General features: G+C 49.0%; 1 long non-coding RNA gene and 1 other non-coding gene across 2 annotated transcripts; both read right to left on the bottom strand.

The window, feature by feature from the left end:
* Nucleotides 1–4612: 4612 nt before the first annotated feature.
* Nucleotides 4613–22926, bottom strand: LOC124901744 (uncharacterized). Its single transcript, XR_007060516.1, has 2 exons — nt 22147–22926; nt 4613–5189 (listed from the first exon to the last, which is right to left on the bottom strand). It is a non-coding gene; the product is annotated as an uncharacterized LOC124901744 (long non-coding RNA).
* Nucleotides 21279–21350, bottom strand: MIR129-1 (microRNA 129-1). Its single transcript, NR_029596.1, has one exon. It is a non-coding gene; the product is annotated as a microRNA 129-1 (primary transcript).
* Nucleotides 22927–23081: the final 155 nt, after the last annotated feature.

Raw genomic sequence — 23081 nt, 5'->3', positions numbered from 1 at the left:
GGCTGGGAGAGTCTCTTCTGTTACTTTCTTTTCTTTCTTTCTTTCTTTTTTTTTTTTTTTTAGACAGAGTATTGCTGTGTCATTTTGTCATCCAGGCTGGAGTGCAGTGGCCCGATCTCAGCTCACTGCAACCTCCACCTCCCTGGTTCAAGCAATTCCCTTGCCTCAGCCTCCAAGTAGCTGGAATTACAGGCGCACGCCACCATGCCTGGCTAATTTTTTTGTATTTTTAGTAGAGACGGGGTTTCACCATGTTGGTCTTGAACTCTTGACCTCAGGCAATCCGCCCACCTTGGCCTCCCAAAGTGCTGGGATTACAGGTGTGAGCCACCGTGCCCGGCTCTTCTGTTATTTTCAACAGGGAAAATTAAGCCTCTACTTCGATGGCTGGGTGCAGTGGCTCACGCCTATAATCCCAGCACTTTGGGAGGCCGAGAAGGGTGGATCTCTTGAGGTCAGGAGTTCAAGACCAGCCTGGTCAATATGGTGAAACTCCATCTCTACTAAAAAATACAAAAATTAGCCGGGTGTGGTGGTGCTTGCCAGCTACACAGGAGCCTGAAGCAGGAGAATCGCTTGAACTGAGGAGGCAGAGGTTGCAGTGAACTGAGATCATACCACTGCACTGCAGCCTGGGTGACAGAGCGAGACTCCATCTCCAAAAAAAAAAAAAAAAAAAAAAAAAAATTAAAAAATAATTTAAAAAAAAGCCTCTAGTTTCTTTGTTTGTTTTAGAGACAGGATCTTGTTCCGTTGCCCAGGCTGAAGTGCAATGGCGCGATCTTGGCTCACTGCAGACTTGACCTCCTGGGCTCAAGTGATCCTCCTACTTCGGCCTCCCAGCTAGCTGGGACTACAGGCACTTGCCACCATGCTCAGCTAATTTTTAAATTTTTTGTAGAGATGGAGTCTCACTATGTTGACCAGGCTGGTCTCGAACTCCTGAGCTCAAGAGATCCTCCTGTTTTGGCCACCCAAAGTGCTGGGATTACAGGCGTGAGCTACCACACCTGACTGTAAACCTCTTATTTTTAATGTGAATTTATCCTTACCGAATAGAGCTTTGGCTTTCATGGGGAGGGAAATGAATATTTGGTCCCAGCAGTGGGTGTCAGCTCATGACATGAGAAAATCGAAGGAGTAGCCTTAAACTGGATTTGATCTTGCAAACTTAGGAGGGAACTGGGATGGTACAAGGGTGGAGCAAGCGCCTTTAGGAGCCTCCAGGGCTTGGATAGTTTCTGAATTTGACTGGGATGTTAGTAACGGAGGTGGTCCCTCCAACCACAGAGCTCCTGACCCCTCCCCCTTCCTGCTCTTCTGGATCTCATCCCACACCCTGTGTCCCTCTTATCCCACACCTAACAGTCGGTGTCATCTTTGAGCTCTCTGTAGGGGAGGAAGGCTGTTGGGGATGCTGGACGGGTGTGGGTCCTGGGCTGTGGCTTCTTCCTTCCCTCCTCTCGGCAGCACAGCTCACAGCTTCTGCTCTACTCCAAGTAGACTCTAACCCACTGGAAACTGCAGCCAGTTCTGCAGAAAGTTCAAATCTTTAGGGACTTCATAAATTAGCCTTTACTGCTAAGTTCTCTGAAAAAAAAAAAAAAGAGAGAAAGAGAGAGAATTGGGGAGTGGGGGCAGGGGGAGGGGTTGCAAAGCACAGCACAATCACTGCTTCCTCTTCCCAAACTCTGAGTGTCCATGTTGCAACCAATCAGAAGCACCATCAGGAAGGGGCCATGGGGGTGGCAGAGTTGGTGCAGGGGATGCTGACTGGCCAAGAGGCACTGGATGACCCTGGGCAGAGCAGGAGTGCGGGCGGGAGGGATAGTGCTGAGGTACTGTGACAGCATTTGCTTTGTGTTAGCACATTCTGAGCAGCACCTTGAATTTTTCGTTTGTAAGCATGTGGGGTGTGTGCCCTTCTATGTTTATGTTAGGGAATTCAGAGCATGCTCCTGCATTTCTGCTCATGTGTGTATCTCTGAGGATGTTTTGCTGTTGCCAGTTGTCATCAGGCCTTCAGCTAATTGGATGGAGCCCACCCACATGGTGGAGGGTAATCTGCTTTACTCAAAGCCCACCGGCTTAAATGTTAATCTCATCCAAAACACCCTCACAGAAACACCCAGAATAGTGTTTGGCCAGCTATCTGGTACTGTGGCCCAGCCAGTTTGATATAAAATTAACCATCACAGTAAGGGATGTAGGGAAGGGGAGGCAAATTGTTGAGTCCCAAACACTATTTCAGCTGTCCCAGCTCCCTTCATAATGAAACAGGAGTAAAATGGAGCAATGGGTGGATGGGAAGATGGAGATGGATGGGCAGATAAGTGGATGGGAGGATGGATGGATAGGAGGATGGGTGGATGAGAGGATGAACGGATGGATGGATGGATGGGGGGATGGGTGGATGGATGGAAGGATGGATGGATAGAAGGATGGATGGATAGGAGGATGGAGATGGATGGAAGGATGGAGATGGATGGGAGGATGGATGAATAGGAGGATGGATGAATGGTAGGATGAATGGGTGGGAGGATGGATGGATGAAAGGATGGATGGATGAAAGGATGGATGGATGGAAGGATGGATGGATGGGAAGATGGATGGATGAAAGAATGAATGGATGGGAGGATGGGTGGATGGAAGGATGGATGGATGAATGGGAGGATGGAAGGATGGAAGGATGGACAATAGGAGGATGGAAGGATGGACAATAGGAGGATGGAAGGATGGATGGATGGGAGGATGGATGGGTGGATGGGAGGATGGAGATGGATGGGAGGAAGAATGAATGGGAGGGTGGATGGATGGGAGGATGGAGATGGGTGGGAAGATGGATGAAGAGGAGGATGAATGAATGAGAGGATGAATGGATGGGAGGATGGATGGATGGGAGGATGGATGATGGAAGGATGGATGGATGGGAGGATGGATGATGGAAGGATGGATGATGGGAGGATGGATGGATGGAAGGATGGATGGATTCTGGGAAGATGGATGGATGAACATAGACAGATGGGTGGATGGGGCGGTGTCTATGTAGATAATAGACAGGGATAGACAGACACTAGTACTGGCAACTTTTCAGACACTATTAGATGGAAATTTTCAAAAATACAAAATTGGAGACTGACAGAGCAGAAAGGCCAACTGACCCAACTCTAAATTTCCACATGAGGAAAATGACACCCAGAGAAGAGTGACTTCCTCAAGCTCACACATGGGTTAATGGCAGAGGTTCTATTACCTCCTGGCCTGGTTACTGAGATTGGCATAGGAATGAAGTATGTACACACCAGATCAAATGAGGCTAAACTGCAGGAGCAAACTACCTCTGAAATCTCAGAGGCCTTGCACCTCCCAGGCTTCTTGCGTGCTTACACAATGCGCCCAAGTCAGCTTGGAGGAGGAGCTCTATTCCACATCCCGCCCTGACACCTCAGCATGTGGCCCGAGTTGGCATGTTGGGTGCCAGCTCCTACATGCATCAGCCCAGAAGCAGCATCAGTCACTTTTCTATCAGCCACAAGGCCCCTAACTAATGGAAGAGGGTCAGAAAAGTGGGTGGGTACATGGATATTTGATGAGAAATGAAAGTTTCCACAAAAGAGTAGTTTTTCATCTCTTTGTGGGTCCCCAGTGTTTCCTTTTCTACATTTTTTAACCAAACAAGTTGCCCCAGGATATCTCCAAAACCCAAGGGTCTCCTCTGAGCTCTTGGAACCTCCAAGGAGTCTAACTTGACTTTGCACAGAATGCCTCCACCTTTCACTACTGTAGAATTTGGTGTGCTTTTTTGTATGTGAAGGCTAAACCATTTACTGACATTTTCACCTAAAGCACAGCAGCATCACCCCAGGGACACACTGTGTTTGGTCTCTCTCTCACTGCTACTCACTCACCTTTAGGACGTTGGCTGTCCAATTTTCAGGCTTTTAAAACTTGTTCCTCCTAGAATGTGGTTTGTTAATAAGTATTGATCAAGCATTATGATAGTTACAAGAACCTTATAGGTTTGCATCGCTAGAACCCCCACACACTGTTTATTTCCTTTGAGTCTCCTTGCCTGTACTTGAAATAAGCTGCCACATGGAGTCAGGCGGGTTTGAATTGCTTGGCTCCCCAGTGGTGTTAGTAATGAAAGCATTCTTTTCTAACGGCATTAGTGTTCTCTTTTTGTTTTGTTTTGAGATGGGGTCTCACTCTGTTGCCTTGGCTTGAGAGCAGTGGTGTGATCAAGGCTCATGGTAGCCTGAACCTCCCAGGCTCAAGCAGTCTTCCCACCTCAGCCTCCCAAGTAGCTGAGACTACAGGTGTGTGCCACCATGCCTGGCTAATTTTTGTATTTTTGTAGAGACGTGGTTCCATCATGTTGGCCAGGCTGTCCTCAAACTCCTGAGCTCAAGCAATCCACCTGCCTCAGCCTCCCAAAGTGCTGGGATTACAGGCATGAGCCACCACATCTGGCTAATGTTATTTAAATACATTTAAATAGAGCTTTTTATTAAAATAACAAAAAACAAAGAATAACAAATATTAATTTAAAATAGGATATACAGTTGGAGTTAGACCTAAAGAAATACAAACACCTAGGCATAAGCCAGTATCCTCATTACTTGTGTTGTCATTCTTTATTTGGTTTAATTCTTAGGCTCATGTAGAATTAATTGAGTCTTACATTTCTTAGGTGTGTTTCAAATCTGGTCAGATTTGTCAAGAGTCCTGGTCTCCAGCTTTGATCTTCAACTTCTTTCTTTCTTTTTTTTTCTTTTCTTTTCTTTTTCTTTTTTTTTTTTGAGATGGAGTCTCGCTCTTGTTGCCTAGGCTGGAGTGCAATGGCGCCATCTTGGCTCACTACAACCTCCACCTCCCAAGTTCAAGTGATTCTCCTGCCTTAGCTTCCTGAGTAGCTGGGATTACAGGTGCGTGCCATCACGCCCGGCTAATTTTTGTATTTTTAGTAGAGATGGGGTTTTGCTATGTTGGCCAGGCTGGTCTCGAACTTCTACCTCAGGTGATCTGTCCACCTCGGCCTCCCAAAGTGCTGGGATTACAGGCATGAGCCACCACGCCCAGCGGGATCTTCAATTTCTAATAAAGAATTCCCTCCTGACTTCTTACAGTTTCCCCCAAGAAGGCTTTGGTTTCTTCTGGGCATCTTTATCTCCATCCTGCTTTGGGCCCTGCAGATAGAAAGAGAGTAAATAGGGAGTAAATAGAGTAACATGTGATGTTTCCAGAATGTTAGAAACTCGTGAGTGCCCTTTTTCTGAATCAGCAGAGGATTTTCCTTACCTGAATTCATTTCTGAGCCTCACCTCTCTGCTGAGTACATTCTCGCAAATCTCCACAGAAGGGTCCCTTAGCCACCAGGTCTCTGATAAGGTTAGATTGCAAGCCAACCCTTTATTTTGCCTGACTCTGCAAACCCTGCTCTTTTGTACCTACGAAGCAGGCCATTCCAGAACATGACTTTTTTTTCTTTTTGATTCCTTTTTTTTTTTTTTTGATAGGGTCTTGCTCTGTCACCCTGGCTGGAGTGCAGTGGCACGATCTCGGCTCATTACAACCTCTACTCCCAGAGTTCAAGTGGTTCTCGTGCCTCAGCCTCCTGAGTAGCTGGGATTACAGGTGCACGCACCATGACTGACTAATTTTTTTTTGGTGTTTTTAGTAGAGACAGGGTTTTGTCATGTTGGCCAGGCTGGTCTTGAACTGACCCCAGGTGATCCACCCACCTCAATCTCCCAAAGTGCTGGGATTACAGGCATGAGCCACCGTGCATGGCCCAGAACATGACTTTTAAAGTTATTTTAATCAGAAGGTGACACAGAGACACAAAGTGACTTCTACTGAAGCCTCCCTGTGTGCTCAGCAGGATCCCAGGGGATAGTAAAATAGAAAAGTGTCAAAAGAGCTTTCAGTCACTGCAGGCAGAAGTTCCTGGAGAGCTGGGTCCACAGCTCCATGGCCCAAATGTCACAGAGCTGACTCGATGAGATGAACTCCCAGCATCATGGGGTTCATCATTCCTGGGCTCAGACCACTTGTGAGCCACACCGTTTCCTGTGGTTTAAGCACATGCTGCAAGTCTGAAGTCTCCTGCCAGGAGTCAGGGCTTGTGTCCATTTCTACCATCTCACCAGGTCACCAAGTGCTCTTGCTCAAGTGCAGGAAGAGAGTTGGAGCTCGGTAAAGCCACAGAACCTAAGCCTCCATCAGCCCATGTGGCAAGGAGGATGGGAGAATCAGGAAGGGCCACACTGCTGGGTTGTGCTGTGTTCTGGCACGGAGTCATTCTTGGGGGAGTTCAGGCTGTTGAATCCTGGTTATTTGCGAAGGGCTTGGAGAAGCCTTTGGCATGAATGGAGCTCTCCTCCTTAATAAGGCTGAACCAAATTGGTTAATAAAGTTACCCAATGCTGTTTCTACCAACAGTGTCCAAATTATGCCTCAATTCTGTGGCTACAGCTGCCCTGGGGGGTGGCGTGAAAGCTGCTTTAGGAACTGCAGATGTAGAAATCGTTACCATGTATTGAGTGCCTGCTGAAAGCCAGGCTCTCTGTGAAGCTTTTACTTGATTATCTTATTTAAGCCACACAGTATTCTCCATGAAGAGCATGTTCTGTGAGGGAACAACCAAAGGGAGAAAAATTCAACAGGGGGAAGGTCTTGGTCCCAGGAGGAACTGTCCTAGTGAGGTGACCTGCTCCCCACAGTGCAGGTCACCTGGAGAGGAATGACCCTGCCCTCTCAGGCACCCTCCCCATCCCCCGATGCCTCCTCCACCCACCCAGTGCTAGGGCAAGCAGAGCCATCTCTAAGCCAGGCTGTCCCCAGGCCTGCTTCGCTTCAGAAGAGAGTGCTCACTGAGCACTGTGCCACGTGCTTATCCTTCCATGATCTTGTTTTATCATCAACATAATCTTATAAGGGAGAATATTTTTGCCTCCATTTTACAGATGAGGACGCTGAGGCATAAAGGGGACAAAGGCTTGCTCATGATTCTGCAGCTAAATGCTGGCAGAGCTAAGTTCTACACACGTTCAATCTGACTGTCACCCCCTAAGGTAACCTGCCAAGTTCTGAGTCAGTCTCCATGGCCCCACCCCTTGGTGTCACAGTTGGGTGACTAGGCACATTGAGAATCTCAGGCAGGGTTAGGAGAGCCTGAAGAATTGTGGAGGAAGGTCAATTACCCTGTAAAACTGATCAATCAACAGATAAGAACAGAAATAAGCAATCTGGATTGCAGATGGTATTAGCCAGCTAGGACGGCCATAGCAGAATACCACAGATGAGCTGGCTTAAACAACAGAAATTTACATCCTCACAGTTTTGGGGCTGAGAATCCAAGATCAAGGTGCCCACAGACTTAGTTTCTGGTGAGGCCTCTCTCTTTGGCTTGCAGACATAACCTTCTCATTGTGTCCTCATGTGGCCTTTTCTCTATGCATGCTCATCCCCAGTGTGTCTCTGTGTGTCCACATTTCCTCTTTGATAGGGACATCAGTCAGATTGGATTGGTGCCCCACCTCATTTAACCTTAATCACCTCCTTAAAGATCCTATCTCCAAACACAGTTACATTGGTGATTAGGAATTCAATGTATGAATTTTAGGGGACACGGTTGAGCTCGTAACAGATTATTCAAAGCTCTTTTTCCCTCCTGCAGCAGCCCCCACAGCAGTGGGCACAGTCAGCAGCAATCCGGGTGTCAGCCCCTCTCTGCAAGGATTGGGGGCCAGATGCTCCCTCCCTGGAAGCCACATCAACGACAGACCACTGCTCTACTGAGAATTCAATAAAGACTTTTTACAGAACATTACTACAGCTCTTTTTACAGACTCCTACAGTGCTATACAACCCAACATTTACATGTAATTTTCACTTCAGCAAGATCTTTTAAATTTAAAATCTCAGCACAGTCACTGAAGCCACAACTCCCTATCTAATCAAAGTTTCTATCAATGTTAAAAGTTGGTTGTTGATTTTTTTTTTTGAGTCCTCAAAGCTGTCTGTGATTCCAGAGAGCTATGTTCTTCCCATATACAAAACTGTTCCCCTGATCCCATATCTGGAATAGTTTTTCCAATGAAAGAATGGTTTTGCGAGAAGACACACATGCCTTGGTAAACTAGCTCTCACAAAGAAGGAGGAGGAGGGAAGGAGGAAGAGAAACCCCGATTTGTAGGGGTTTACCAATTTCCATGGTATAAATACTTGCACCACGATAGATTTCAAGCTACTAATGATTTTAAAAATTGGCTTACAAAGCTCCAGAATATTTTACACCTGGCTCTCACAAGCCACTATAAGTCTGCTCCTGCACGTCACTGCTTGTGTCTCTCATGGTCACAAAAGCCCATTTTATAGATTTTAATCTGGGTCAGGGGTAAAATCTGTGATCTTGATCAAAATGAAGTCAACTAGCCCCACCAGGACTCAATCTCACCATCCGGTTTCCATTCTCGCCATGCTTTAAACCCTGAGCACAGGGTTTAAAGCTGTGCTGGGAAGCAGGAGGAGACAAAGGACCCCTCAATCCCCTGCTGCCTCGAGGATATTCTCTTTCTCTCCCTTCCTCTGTAGTTCACTCTCCAGCTCATTCCCAGGTCCCGGGTGAGCTAGCTGAAGTGGTCATGATAATACTAATAAGCTGATTTCAGAGAAGAGTTTAGTTCATTGCACCTTTGGGAAAGACCTCGGCTGGTGCTTTCCTAGGATAACAAGCTTCAGTGAAACTAACAGGGACCTGAGCACAGGTCACAAATCCATGTTCATCTAATACATGCTTCTGGTAAACCTCCCCAATTTAGAAGGACCACACATTTGCTGGAAATCAGTCACCCCACTGGCCATGGGCATTTTCATGGGGTCTTGGTCTGCGTGGAAAAGTGAAAAGTCAGTGAAGAGCAAATCCGGGTTGGATTGGTGGCAGGTGGAACAGCTGCCCAAGCATGCAGTGCTTTGTCTGGAATGGAACATCTCTATTTTTCATTCACCAAAGGTTGTGGGGGCTTCAACAAGTGCTTCCAGCCTGACTTCCTGCTGATGACAGGTGGTCAAGGTGATGTTCAAGTTCTCCTTGGGTCCTCAGTGACTCTCTGCACTCCATGTGTGTGAAAACGTGCAAGGAACTTTCATCCCAGAGGCAGAATTGAGGCGTTCCAAGGGGGCAGGCCATTGAATGTTCAGAATTCCAAGTTCATGGCTAGGATGTGGTATTTAAGAGGCAAACGATGATCTGGGAGCAGACCTTGGAGAAAACTGGGATTGGAGGAGATATACTCTACCAAATTAAATATAAGTGGGAACTGCAGCAGGCATCTGACCTGGAACTGGAGGTTTCCAGAGCAGCTGGCATGGTGAAGGAAGGACACACAGAATTGGAATTTCCCCACCCCGTCCTCTGACTGCTCTTGTTCCTCCATCAGGCAAGACTTGCTGGGAAGCAGGAGGAGACAAAGGACCCCTCAATCCCCTGCTGCCTTGAGGATATTCTCTTTCTCTCCCTTCCTCTGTAGTTCACTCTCCAGCTCATTCCCAGGTCCTGGGTGAGCTAGCTGAAGTGGTCATGATAATACTAATAAGCTGATTTCAGAGAAGAGTTTAGTTCATTGCGCCTTTGGGAAAGACCTTGGCTGGCGCTTTGCTAGGATAACAAGCTTCAGTGAAACTAACAGGGACACTAACTCACTCCACTGCTATATTCTTATTTTATATGCTGAAGGTGTCAATAGTCACTACCATAAGTAGAATCTGCTTTTCCTCTGGCAGTGGAAAGGCTAAATTGTAAATGGTGTCTTCAGGCCTTCTCTCCCTTCTAGGACTTCTCTGAGTTCAGGGGAGGGTGGACACAGATGACTTCAAACCTTCCCCTACCCTTGGGGTCCCTGGTCAGTGTTCTCCATAGTGTATGACGGCATTTGAAACATCAGTAATGACTATCCTTTCTCTTACACCCATACCCTCTCTTTACTCATAGTATTATTTTGAGGAATACATGAAATTATAATCATTGTAACTGAGCATCTACTATGTGCCAAATCCTGTGCTAGATATTTTTAAATATTATTTCCGAACCTAATAAAAACATCGTGCCATTTTATAGATGAAGAAACTGAGACTCAAAGAAGCTAACAGATTTGCTCACAGTCAGTGAGTGTTTAGGTTTTAGCTCATGTCTTTTAATCTCTATTTTTTAAATTGTTATTTTATTTTTTTAAAAAGTAAAATAAAATGGAGTCTCACTATGTTGCCCAGGCTGGTCTCGAACTCCCAGGCTCAAACCATCCTCCCACCTTGGCCTCCCAAAATTCTGGGATTACAGGCGTGAGACATCGTGCCCAGCATTTTAAACTCTAAGGCTCACATTTTTCTACTACACTACCATGTTATATAAAACATGGCATCAGACAGCACAAAATTAGGTTGTGCTGCAGTTATAGGCAGCCTGAAAATCTTGGTGGCTTACAACAACAAAGTTTTACTCCATCCTCACGTGCAATGCATGATACACACGCCTCATGTCTCTTCTCGGAGCTCGGTTTCCTAGTATTCCAGGATTCCAGCTGGTGATGGAAGAGCCACCAGACTGTTGCCAGTTCCCATGCTAGAGGGAGAGGGAGCTCTGGAGGGTCTAAAACTATCAGCGAAATGCCCTGGCATTCAGTTGGTACATGTCACTTCTACCCACAACCCATTGGCCAGAATTTTACATTACTCTTCCAAACCACAAGAGGGAGGAAGTGTAATCCCCCTGGACAGCTGAGAATAAAAAGTACATGGCGAGCAACACTAAAACCTGCCACGAGTGTCTGGCACTGGGCTTGGCCCCTACATGATTAATAAACGCTATTTCACGCCCCCTTTCCTTCCCCAGCTATGAACAGATTATGGTGAAATCATTCATTTTGGACCAAGAGACAGGCATAATGAACAGGCCCTCCATTCTGTACTCTTCCTGGTTTGCACCTGCGTCATAGGATGCTGGCTCAGATTTCTCCAGGGCCTGAGTCTCCAGTGCCTTGATGTCCGACCATGTCTCAGGGGTTTCCATCAGTCATTCTCAAGTGCTGTGTTGCAGATGATAAATGACATTCACATGCACAACACATGACACCCTCCCATGGGCATCCAACAGGGTCAGGGCTACAGGCAGTCTCTGTCCGGCAGCTGTAATTCCACCACTTCTTCCTTTCAGGGAGGCATATCGGATTGCAACTAAGCAGCAGGGGCATTACTATAGGACCATATTGAATCTGTTCTAATTGATTAAAAAAAAGTCATCAACGATTTGAGAACCTCAACAGTTCATTATCCATAGCCAACTGCCTAGGACACACCTCCTAAGTGCTCCAGGCATACAGCATGTCAGGATACCACCATTGAAGAAGCACTGGTCAAGAAGAAGCCGGAGCAACCAGTTGTAAAATGAAAAGAAGTGCCAATTTGTCTACAGCGTGCCAAAGAATTGATTGGAAGAACATTTTGTCCATACTCACTGAATTAGCTAGTTGTCTTGGCACTGTGTAGACACAGCCTGAGTATTAAGAATGTGAGCATAGTATCAATCATCAAACCACAGAATGTTAGACTGGAAGGAATCTCCAGAGATATTTTTCATACATTCCCCTCATGTCACAGATGAGGAAACTAAGGAACAGGCAGGCTAAAAGATTTGCTTAAGGACATGTAGCACAATTGTCAACTGTTGTTTTAGAAAAGAGGTTAATGTGGGCACATCTTCACCCACTGCATTTTTAACATTTTCTTTAGCTATTTCAGAATCAAGATGCCCACTGAATGTCATTGCGTACTTTTTCTAAAAGTAGACAAGAATTTGAGAAACACCCCGTGATGCAATGGTTCATTGCTTAAACTTGCTGCTGACTCATTTGCCCTCCACCATTTTTTCCCCCAACTTCTCTCTTGGCATCTGGCACTTCCACTGGCTCTTTTCTCCAGCTTGTCCCATTCTCCTGGTCTGGGCTGGGCAACAGGATGCAGTGACGTCATGTCCGCGCGTCCTCATTGGGTGGTAGGCGGGGCTCAGAGGTGAGGTCCCTTGGTGAATCGCCCTGGGCGCCTGAGTAGGCCTCCTGGCCTCCAGGCTGAAGCAAGCCACCTGCTGCCCAAAGGGCAGACTGTTCTGGGCCAAAAGGAGTCTGTGGAACAAGGACGCCAAGATGTTCATGCTTTATCGTTTTCCTTTTTGGGATACGGTCTCACTCTCTTGCCCAGGCTGAAGTGCAGTGGTGTGATCATGGCTCACTGCAGCCTCGTTCTCCTGGGCTCAAGAGATCCTCCCACTTCAGCCTCCTGAGTAGCTGGGACTACAGGTGTGCACCACCATGCTTGGCTAATTTTTAATTTTTTGTTGTTGTTGATACAGGGTCTCCCTATGTTGCCCAGGCTGGTCTTAAACTCCTGGCCTCAAGCAGTCCTCCTGCCTCAGCCTCCCAGAGTGCTGGGATTACAGGCAAGAAACTCACACCCAACCAGGTTTCATCTTTTTGATAAAGGACAAATGCCCCCCTCCAAACAAACAACTCCTGTAGGTCACACTTCAAGTGTTTGCTGGGGGAGAAATCCCATCCAAAAATAGTCTTTCTGTTGGAAAGAAAGAAAGGAGTAGTGGCTCACTCCTGTAATCCCAGCACTTTGGGAGGCCAAGGCAGGAGGATTGCTTGAGCCCAGGAGTTTGAACCAGCCTGGGCAACATAGCAAGATCCCTTCTCTACAAAAAAATTTAAAAATTAGCCGGGTGTGGTGGTGTGTGCCTGTGGTCCCTGCTATGGGGAGGCTGAGGCAGGAGGATTGCTTGAGCCTCGGAAGTGGAGGCTGCAGTGAGCTGTGATTGCACCACTGCACTCCAGCCTGGGTGACAGAGTGAGACCCTATCTCAAAAAAACCCTAAAAAACAAACAAAAAACACAAAAATAGTCTTTGGGTCAGGGCCCTCCCTACTCTCGCTTAACTGTGAATTGTGCTTTTTCATTCACTTCAGGTTCCTGCCTCTTGAAATGTCTTTGGTTTGAGCTAGGCAACTTTGTGGTGGTCCCTTGAATCCCTATCCCCCTCCTTATCCCCCCATCCCCTTTTCTCAAGTCAACTTCAGAGGCCTTGGAGGCTCCTGCTTCAGGGCCTGTGAGGGAAGGAATTCCAGACAACTTCTGTATGGTCCTGGGGCTGAGGAATCGGCTCAGTGGCCAAGATATAGGCTCTCCACTGTCACTGCCCAGTCTAGGATTTTGGCAGCTCTCCCAACCCCACAGGCCCAGATGCAGGAGGAATCTTTGGCATGGACAGAGAGCTCTTAGGCCTGGGGCCAAAAGTCAGCCCTTTACCCCAGATGAACACATGGGGCTGCCCCTCCTCTGCACAGAGTACCTCTTTCCCTCACCCCTAGGTTTACACAGCTTAGAGAAGTGTCTGGAGTCTGGTGGGTTTGGGGAGCAGGGAAGATGGAGCCACAGAGTAATGTCCTGGGACAACTCCCCCTTGACCCCCAACAAATAAGAGGGGGAGGAAAGGACCTATAGCTTGAGAGTGGATTCTGGGTCACACTGGTTACCCCTCTTTCCTGGGTTTGATGCATCATTTAAAAGATGCTATGGAAAGTCTTGTCCTTCCAGTTCTTTCTTGTTGGCTTTGGTACAAAGCTACAAACACAGACACACACACACATACACACACATACCCGACTCCATCCTGTAACACACATACCAGTCATTTCTTCTTGGCCACTAGGTCAGATTCTGGAAAACCCTAGTTGTAGAAGAATTTATGGCTAAAGAATTTAAGACTTTAAGGGAAAGTAGAATTGGAGAACAAAGGTCGGGAACGAACTAGAGAAAATCCTTATAATTGGTTTTGCATTCAGAAGAGAGCCCAATCCAAGAGCACACTGAATAAATAACATTTTCAGTTGTTTTGTCTGCTGCTGGCACAAGCGTGAACTGGCTCAGCCAAGCTAGCGAGTAAATTGACAGCATGTCTAATAACTGGAACGCATCTTCCCTGCGGCCCAGCAACACCACTTGTAGGGGTCTACTCTACAGAAGCATGTTCAAGGATGTCCACTGCAGAATCATTTGTGATGGTGAAAAACTGGAAACAAATGTCTATTAGTAGGTGAGTGGATGGATTGTGGTATCTTTGTACAGTTTCATGTTATTCAGCAGTAAAAATGAATGTATCATGCATCAACATGGACCGATCTTGGAAACACAATTTAGCTGAAAAAAAAGTAGGTTCCAGAATGGTGGGTTTAGTGTGACATCACTTACATAAATTAAGAAGCACTCAAAGCAATGCTAGGTGTAATTTACGAGTAATACATATATGGTAAAGTATGAGCACCAGTGTGAGAATACCTACCAACTTCAGGACAGTTGGAGGAAGGAAAAGGGGCACAAAGACTTCAACTGTGTCTGTAAGGTTTTTTCTTTCTTTCTCTCTCTCTCTTCCTTCCTTCCTTCTTTCTTTTTTCTTTCTTTCTTTCTTTTTTTCTTCCTTTCTTCTTCTTTTTCTTCCTTTTTTCTTTTTTTCTTCCTTTCTTCCTCTTTTTCTTCCTTTTTTCTTTCTTTCTTACTTTCTTTCTTTCTTTCTCCTTTCTTCTCTCTTTCTCTATTTCTTCTTTCCTCTTTTCCTTTTTTTTTTTGACAGGGTCTCACTTTGTTGCCTAGGCTGGAGTGTAGCAGCGTGATCATGGCTCACTGCAGCCTCAACTTCCCAGTCTCAAGCAGTCCTTCCACTTCAGCCTCCTGAGTAGCTGAAACAGGCACGAACAACCATACCCCATTAATTTTTTGTTTTTTGTAGAGATGGGGTCTTGCTATGCTGCCCAGGTTGGTCTTAAACTCCTAGGCTCAAGCAATCCTCCCACCTCGGCCTCCCAAGGTGCTAGGATTACAGGCATGAGCCACTGTGCCTGGGCTGTCTCATTTCTTTTAAAAAATGATCTGACATAAATGTGGCAAAATGGTAGCACTTGCTATTTCTGGTGGTAGGTACAAGGCTTTTGTTATATTACTCCTTGTCTTTTTCTATATGTTTGAAATATTTCACAACGGAAAAAAGGAAAGAAAATTCCAGTGGCATTTTGCACACATTTACATGAGTAGTAATGAGCATTTGCTAGGATTTTCCATTTTCATCCCTTCCCTGAAAAACACTTCGTAGGATTTCTCTTCCTTCTATCTTCAGTGAAATGCTCATGGCTAGGCATGGTGGCTCACACGTGTAATCCAAGCACTTTGAGAGGCTGAGGTGGGAGAATCCTTTTAGCCCAGGAATTCAAAACCAGCCTGGTCAAGATAGTGAGACCTTGTCTTTACCAAAAATACAAAACTTAGCCAGGCATGGTGGTGTGCACCTGTAGCCCCAGCTACTGGGAAGGCTGAGGCAGGAGGATTGCTTGAGCCCAGGAGTTTGAGGCTGCTGTGAGCCATGATCGTGCCACTGCACTCCAGCCTGGGTGACTGAGTGAGACCCTGCCTCAAACAAACAAAACAAATGCTCATAAATGTGTTTTTCTTTGTTACAGAAATATGCACCCAAAGGAGCATTTTTCCAGCCAATTATCCTGTGCCCTTCCGATCTCATGACTTAGAGTAATTGACGCCATCTCCCTCATCTGGATACGTGGAAAAATGACTATTTGACGTTGGCTGCATCCCACCTACTCACCAGATTCTCTTTCCTCCTTCCATTCCCTGGGGCTGCAGGTCTCATCTCCGTCCAGGGGTATTTCCTGCCAAGTGCCTGGTTGCCTCTTTGCCTGGAGGAAGGCCCCAGGGCCTAGTTTACTTTCTCTCTTCTTTCTTTACCTTTTCCAAAGTTTCCTTGTGAAATCCTACTCCTTGGGCACCCCCACATTCCTTTCTTTCTTATGATACCACTAGAGCTGGCCCATGGGAACAGTGATTCTCAAACTTGAATGTGCATCAGAATCACCTGGAAAGCTTATTGAAACACAGATTGTGGGGTTCCACCTTCAGGGCTCTGGTTCAGTAGGTCTGGGTAGGGTCCAGTGGTGTGCTGGAAACTGTTTAACAATGGGCTTTCAGAAAGAAAAATGAGCACTGATTTGTAATGTTCCACAGTGTAAACACTCTCACCGTGGTTGATTTCAAGCCCCCAGTGTGATGGTCACTAAATGTGGAGTTAGGAAAGAGACATGTGCAATTGGTTCTCCTGAGATGTTACAAACTGTCTCCAGCCACCCTTGGCACTGGGATCTAAGAATTTGCATTTCTGTTTTTTTTTTTTTTGTTTTTGTTTTTGAGATGGAGTCTTGCTCTGTCGTCCTGGCTGGAGTGCAGTGGTGCAACCTCAGCTCACTGCAACCTCCGCTTCCTGGGTTGAAGCGATTCTCCTGCCTCAGCCTCCTGAGTAGCTGGGACTCCAGGTATGCGCCATCATGCCCAGCTAATTTTTGTACTTTTCGTAGAGACAGGATTTCACCATGTTGGCCAGGCTGGTTTCAAACTCCTGACCTCAAGTGATCTGCCCCCTCGGCCTCCCGAAGTGCTGGGATTACTGGTGTGAGCTATCGCACCTGGCAGAATTTGCATTTCTAATAAGATCCCTGGTAGTGCTGAGCTGCTGGTCTTGAAGTGGTTCCTACTTCGAGAATCACTGCCTTGGAGGGCCGAGCATAGGAGTATGGAGTTTGGGAAGAGATTCCTGGATTGTGTGAATGACTCTGAGACTTTGACCTGAAAAATCTCATCTCCCCAGGAGCCTAGAAAGAGATTTCCTGTCTCACAGCAAAAGAAGCTTATGTCATGGGGACCAGCACAGGCTACACGGTAGATAAAGCCAACCAGGGCTCTATTTTGGGCTGGTGCACTGGCCTGGAAGTTCTGTGCCCTACCTTGAAATGCCCCCCTGGCCACAGACCACTAACCACGCAGCTGCTGCCTCAGGCGAAAGTCCACTCCCACCTTCCCTGGCTCCAGGGCCCGCAACTAAGGAGCGCAGCTGGACAGGACGGGTGCACGCGAGTCCCAGGAGGCTTTCCCTCTCAAGAGGACGAACCATATCTCCGAGAGTGCTCCTGGCAGAACAGAGCATAGATGCTGGGGAAGAAAGGGAAGGATACAGGAAAGGAAGAATGAGAGAGAAGGAAAGGGTTAGGGGCGGGGGTAGGCGGGGAGAGAAGAGGGTCCTCAACACAGATGCTGATGTGGGGCTGGCAACTTCCAGGGGACTTAGGATGCATCCAGATTAGGCAAAAAATGAAAGCACCAAACCACACCTGTCCATCCCCTGACTAGCGCCATGCCAGCTTCATTCCTTGGGCTCTTTGATTTTCACTTCCTTGGTCACCTCCCCCAGGTCCAGCCCGATGAGGCCACTTCTGGGAAGAACAAAGGAGGCTCTGTAGGCTCTGCTGGGATGAGAAAGATCATCCCAGGAGGCAGGCAGGATTAACATGCGGCAGTGTTGCCACACACACTCGTGATATTATCCTGTTGGTGTATAGGATTATATGTCATTAGGATTACAGGGTGTAATAACTCCAGGTGCATTTGACATTTCTATTCAAATTGTACTTTGGGGAAACCTATAGGTTTTCCTTGCTGATGATTTATCTGGTTCCTTCCCCTGAGAGCCTGGCGTTCCCATCCTGCTTGCTTCCCTGCCTGCCGCCCCCAAAACTCCTTCCTGTGCCCTCAGCGGCTCCCACTCTCAAGGACAGCTGTTGGGGCCCCAGTCCTTGCTTTCCTGCCGAGTGTGGGGTGGGCCTGGTGGGAGAGGAGATTGTATCTGATCCAGCACATTCCTCTCATTTTACAAATGCAGAAACCCAGGCCCAGAGCATGATGGAGACTAGTTCAGGCCACTCTCTCCAGGTGGCCCAGCTTGGATCAGATCCTGGTCTCAGCCTCCTGGGAGAGGGGACACCTTGCCAAGGTGCCCCTGCTGGCACCTCGAGCAATCAGAAAGGGTGACATCAGCCACCCGGAGAGACTTCTCATTTTGCCTTCCACATTCCCCCACCTTCCTTTTCATTCCTGCCTTTCCTTTGTCAATTCTGTGCCACCTCTTCATCTCCTCCCTCCCTCCCCGAAAGGCCATGATGGCCCGCAGGTCAGGACAGCCCTTCCCGGCCTGAGCCTCTCCAGCTCTGGGAGTTCCAACACCACTGCCGGTTCTTCGAGAGCAGTGAGGGGACCTGGCTCCCCCTGGCTTCCCCAAGCCTCTCAGCCCACAAGGCCCTGGTCCTTCCCACCCGTAAGACTCTCCCGAGACCACACAGCTAGTGCAGGTGGGACCTGAGATTAGCATCCAGCTCTGATTATTCTGAAGTCCAGTTTCTCCCTCTGCTCACTCCAGGTCTGGCAGCTGCTCCTCGCTGTGGCGCACTCAGCCTTTGGCACACAGCCGCAGGCGCTCGGCAGGTGAGGAACCTGCTTGGGAGCAATAAAGCAGGGGGCAAAACTCCATGGCTGATTTCAGACAACCGACTGCTAAATGCCAGACACATCCACACAGCTGTGGAAAGACAGCCACTCATGAGCAGCCAAGCAGATGCCCCCCAGAGCTGATACCCCTGGACACAGAATCGGGGGCCTTGCTTTTTATGGTGGGGACCATCCATTGTCCTGACATTATTTCACTGACTAGAACCCACCGCCCTGTCAGAGGGGCATGATTTTCCCTGTTTTACAGATGAGGACACCGAGGCACAGAGAGGGCTAAGGACTTTCCTGAGGCCACATAGCTGGCGCAGGGACAACCTGAGATTTGAATCCAGATCGGATTGATTCTGAAGTCTGGGTTCTTTCCTTTAACATTGGGAACAGGAGCCTTTTTGGAATAGTGCCTCTCCTGAGTCCCTCTCCCTCTGGAGGGAATAGGTTCTCTAGGGTGGCAGGGATTTGAGTTGCAATTTGCGAGGCTCATGCAAAGGGTTAAGTCGTCAAATGCCTGAGATGTGGACCCAGAAGCCACTTTGAAAGGTGCCCTAGAGCAGTCTGGCTGTAGACACGCTCACCAAGGGGCTCTAGCAACCCTCCCCCTCCCACCTCCCCTCCTTCTCTCCTTCTCTCCTTCTCTTCTCCCCTTCCCCTCTCAGGCTCTGCACCCCTCAAGACTGCTCCTCACAAAAACTCTGATTCTGTTAGGAAAGATCTTGCAGTCCTAGAACAGAGTCTGGCACATAGACTCAAAATTCCTTGAGTGACTCCGCAGAATGAAGCTCTTTGGAAGCTGTGAGGTGCACTACCCCACTATGACCACACGATGCCACCCTTGAGCTGCACACGCATTCCCACCCGCATGCTGGCAGCAGGTGGCAGAGCAACAACTGCTTTGCAGCTGGGTGGGATGGGGAGGGTCAGGATAGCATCAGGGGCAGGAGCTCCCGTGGTCACAGGTATTATTCAGCCGTGCCGTTTTGCTCGTCGCCATCGTCCCTTCTCCCACTGCTGTCTGGCTGTCACCTAGTGGGGGCTCGGTTGGCCTCACAAACCTGCAGTAATTGTTCCTGGACCCGTAAACCCAGCCTTTCTTCCTGAACCTCCACAGCAAACCCCCAGCCCCACTCAGGATCCTTTAGCACCTCTGAACTCAGTTGCAGGCGACACGCCAGCTCACATATTGCCTTAAAATGGCCTCCAGCAGCTTCTGCTTAGGGAAGGAATCTTCCAGGGGCCTTGTTTCTTGAGGGCTGTGGCTCTGCAGCAGTAAAGGCCTTGGGGAGGCCTGATGCCACGCCCCCAACCTTGGGCTGTCTCGGCACAAGTGGCCACCCCAGGGCCGAGTGGGAGGATTCCAGATAAGGAGGGTCCCTGGCCCCTGGCCATTTCCTGGCCGCAGAGCACTACGGCACTCGGCACTCGGGAGCCTGGTCATCCGTCTCATTGTCAGTGGTGGACAACAAGATGGATGTCCGTGTGGTCATTCCTGACCTGCCGTGGCCTCACCGCGGCTGCAGTGTCGATCCCCCAGCTATCCGGCATGAGGAGGAGGGACTGGGAATCTACAACAACCTGTAATTGGCATAACCTGTTTTCTGCCCCATTTATTTATTTATTTAGATGGAGTCTTGCTCTCTCACCCAGGTTGGAGTGCAGTGGCGCAGTCTCGGCTCATTGCAACCTCTGTCTCCTTGGTTCAAGCGATTCTCTGCCTCAGCCTCCCAAGTAGCTGCAATTACAGACTTGCGCCACCATGCCCAGCTAATTTTTGTATTTTTAGTAAGAGTCGGGGTTTCACCATGTTGGCCAGGCTGGTCTTGAACTCCTGACCTCAAGTGATCTGTCCACCTCGGCTCCCCAAAGTGCTGGGATTACAGATGTGCCCGGCCCCTGGCCTCTTTAGAGGTGAGGACCCCACTTAGCTGTATTTCACTTCTCTCCATATCATATAGGTCCTCCTCTGTCCTTTATCCCAACATGGTTCTCACCTTTGGGGAAGTTTCCTTAGGCCCCCAACCCAACTCTTGTATATGACCCCTGCTGTCAGCTCTGTCCCCTGTCAGTCCCCTGCCCCCTGAGGGCTGACACCTGTGGGGCCTCCCCCAGGGATGGTAACTCACACCTTCCTCTTTCCCAGGGTGTGCAATTCCACCTCCTCTCTCTAGAGGTCTCTGGATCCTCAGCAAGCAATATTATTGACTCTAACAAGCAATCAAGGACTTTATTTGAAGGATTTGGGGGTAGTTCACAGAATGAAGGGCGCGGTTAAGATCCAGGCCAGGGCAGGGCAGACATTAGGCAAGTCAGTGATACAGGCAGTGGAAGCTTGTCATCTTCTCGCCATACACTGCTGGGATCAATCAGCATCAATTATTTTGTTCCCAATCTCAGTATCCTTTACAGATTTCAATTCTTGTGTCCACCCAGTGGGCAGAAGAGGGCAGGACCTCTTGAGTGACAACCCACCCAGAAGTGTCCATGGTGTGGAAGGGGGTCATCCCCAAAAGGATTTCAGAAGGAGATCATCTGTATACAGAGGACAGAATGCTGGGAGAGCTGTGTGACCTTCATCCACCAAAGCGGTTTTCCCTGGCATGTAATTGAGCCACTCCTTTATTTTTCTTATCTGTGGAGTCTCTCACTTGACATTGCCCACTGGTAAATGATGAAAAGAGTGGCATAAGTGAGGCCCAGAGAGGCTCAGTGCTGGACTTAAAGTCACTCAGCAACTCTAAAGGAGAGCCAGGAGACCCCAGTTCCATTCACTGTTCTTGGGTTTGCTGTGACTCACCTGGAGCCCTTGGGGCAGCCTCCCCTGTGGACAAGGCCTCCCGCAGATACTTTTTGGGGTAAGGGCTTCCTGACTACTGTTGAGAGGAACAGCAAGCCCAGACCGCAAAAAGATCCAAAGGAGACAGCAGCCATCCCATGGCAGGGGGGCTGGAGGGGAGGCTGTGGCCCCTCCAGGGCTTAGCTGGTACCAAGAAGACCGGGTCGGGGAGGGAGAGCCAGGACCTAGGGGGAGGAGGGGAGTGGGGGGGGAGGTGGGGGGAGAGGAAGAAAAGAGTCCTGGGGAGAAGAGAAAGCTGAGAGCCCCAGAGGCAGGAGGCAGGCAACAGGAATCCCAGCTGTAATCCCCCTCCACCTCCCAAAGTCACAACCTCCTTCTTATGAGACAGAAGTGGCCAAGCTGTAGCTCACTCCTGGGAAGGGGCAGTTTGAACCTGCGGCTCCCCTTCATTTTCCCCTTTCATCTCCTGCATCCTGCGCCTCCTCAGAGCCCTCTGCTGTGCCTGGGCTTCATTTGGATGGTCTGGCCCAGGGTCTCTCTGCAGCCGTGGTGCTTCCTTGGTTCCACAGTGTCAGTACACCCAGTTCCCACAGGGGACTCTCCCAGAGTCTCAAAATGCTAAGTGCCCCAAGAAGAAGATGCCATCCCTGGTTGAGACCTTGGGGACAGACATCTTTGAACTTGCAAGTGTGGGCTCTGATGTGCTTTCAGCAGACGCTGCTGTCATGGAAAAGGCAGGGGTCCCAGGGCCAGGCCAACTTAGCCTGATTAAATTGCTCCTGGCTGTCTCAAATGAGCTGTTTCTCCAAGGTGGCAGCTAAGCCCCGCATCTCACAGTGGCCTCCTGCTTCCATAACATGAGGTCAGCAATGCTACACAGAGGTCCCTGAGCCAACCTGGCCTGGGTCTTACCTGCCTTAGAGGCTGCAGCCCTGGAAGAGGCAAGGAGATTCCAGAAGTGTCACCATTGCAGGTTTGCAGAATGGATGGTGTCCGCCTCCAGTTCCCTGCAGAGCTCAGCATGCAATGGTTTATCTCTTGCTTTTCCTGAAGGTGTGGAGGAGCCATCGGGACCTGCTAGAGAGGGGCCCTCGTGCCTTGCCCAGACTCCCAACATGACACAACACGGACTTGTCAGCAGGGGCCAGCTGGAGGCACTGGAGAGAGCGGCCCTGCTGTGCAATCTGGTCCAGGGAAGAGGCCCAGAATGTGAGTGTGTAGCCATGGATGGGAGGGCGTGGCTGTGGAGCAGGCTGCAGTGGAGAACCTGGGGACAGAGAGACTCTGAGGATGCCTGTGCCGGGACAGGCATCCATCTGCCTCCCCATGGGTTGGCCTGGGTTACTCTCAGGAGTAAGAGGAGAAAACCCTTTCTTGCCCATGGAGCAGGCCTCTCCTTCTTAGCTGCTCATCTTGGAGCCCGAGCCCCTGTACCTGGCAGCGACTCTGGGGCAGCAGCCAGGTACACCTTGAGGGGGCACTGTGGTCTTCCACGGAATGGAGAATTGCCCACAGCCAGCTTTCCGCGCTGGCTGCTCCTGGGATCGCTGGGTCCCACCCCCACCAGCATGGTTCCCATGAAATCTCTTGGAACTCCAGTCCCTAACTCCCTCCTGCCCCACCTTCTTTGCTGCAGCCTGGGGCAGAACCAACACAGGGACAATATTGATTCGTGGTGGCGGGGCGCAGACACCCTCCTGGTGGGCTTGAGCTGAGCCACACAGGCCAAAGAGCCTGGGCCACTAGGCAGGGCTAGTGAGGGCAGCGGGGAGCATGGCAGGTCCCTCCGGCACCTACACAGGGGCCTGCCCCCACTGAGGGTGCTCTCTTCTTGGCATCCCCGGGGG

This window comes from Homo sapiens, chromosome 7 (genome assembly GCF_000001405.40).
Source record: "Homo sapiens chromosome 7, GRCh38.p14 Primary Assembly".
NCBI classification, from domain to species: Eukaryota; Metazoa; Chordata; class Mammalia; order Primates; family Hominidae; genus Homo; species Homo sapiens.
Note: the sequence above shows the minus strand (reverse complement) of the source record. Positions and strands in the feature narration are given on the sequence as shown.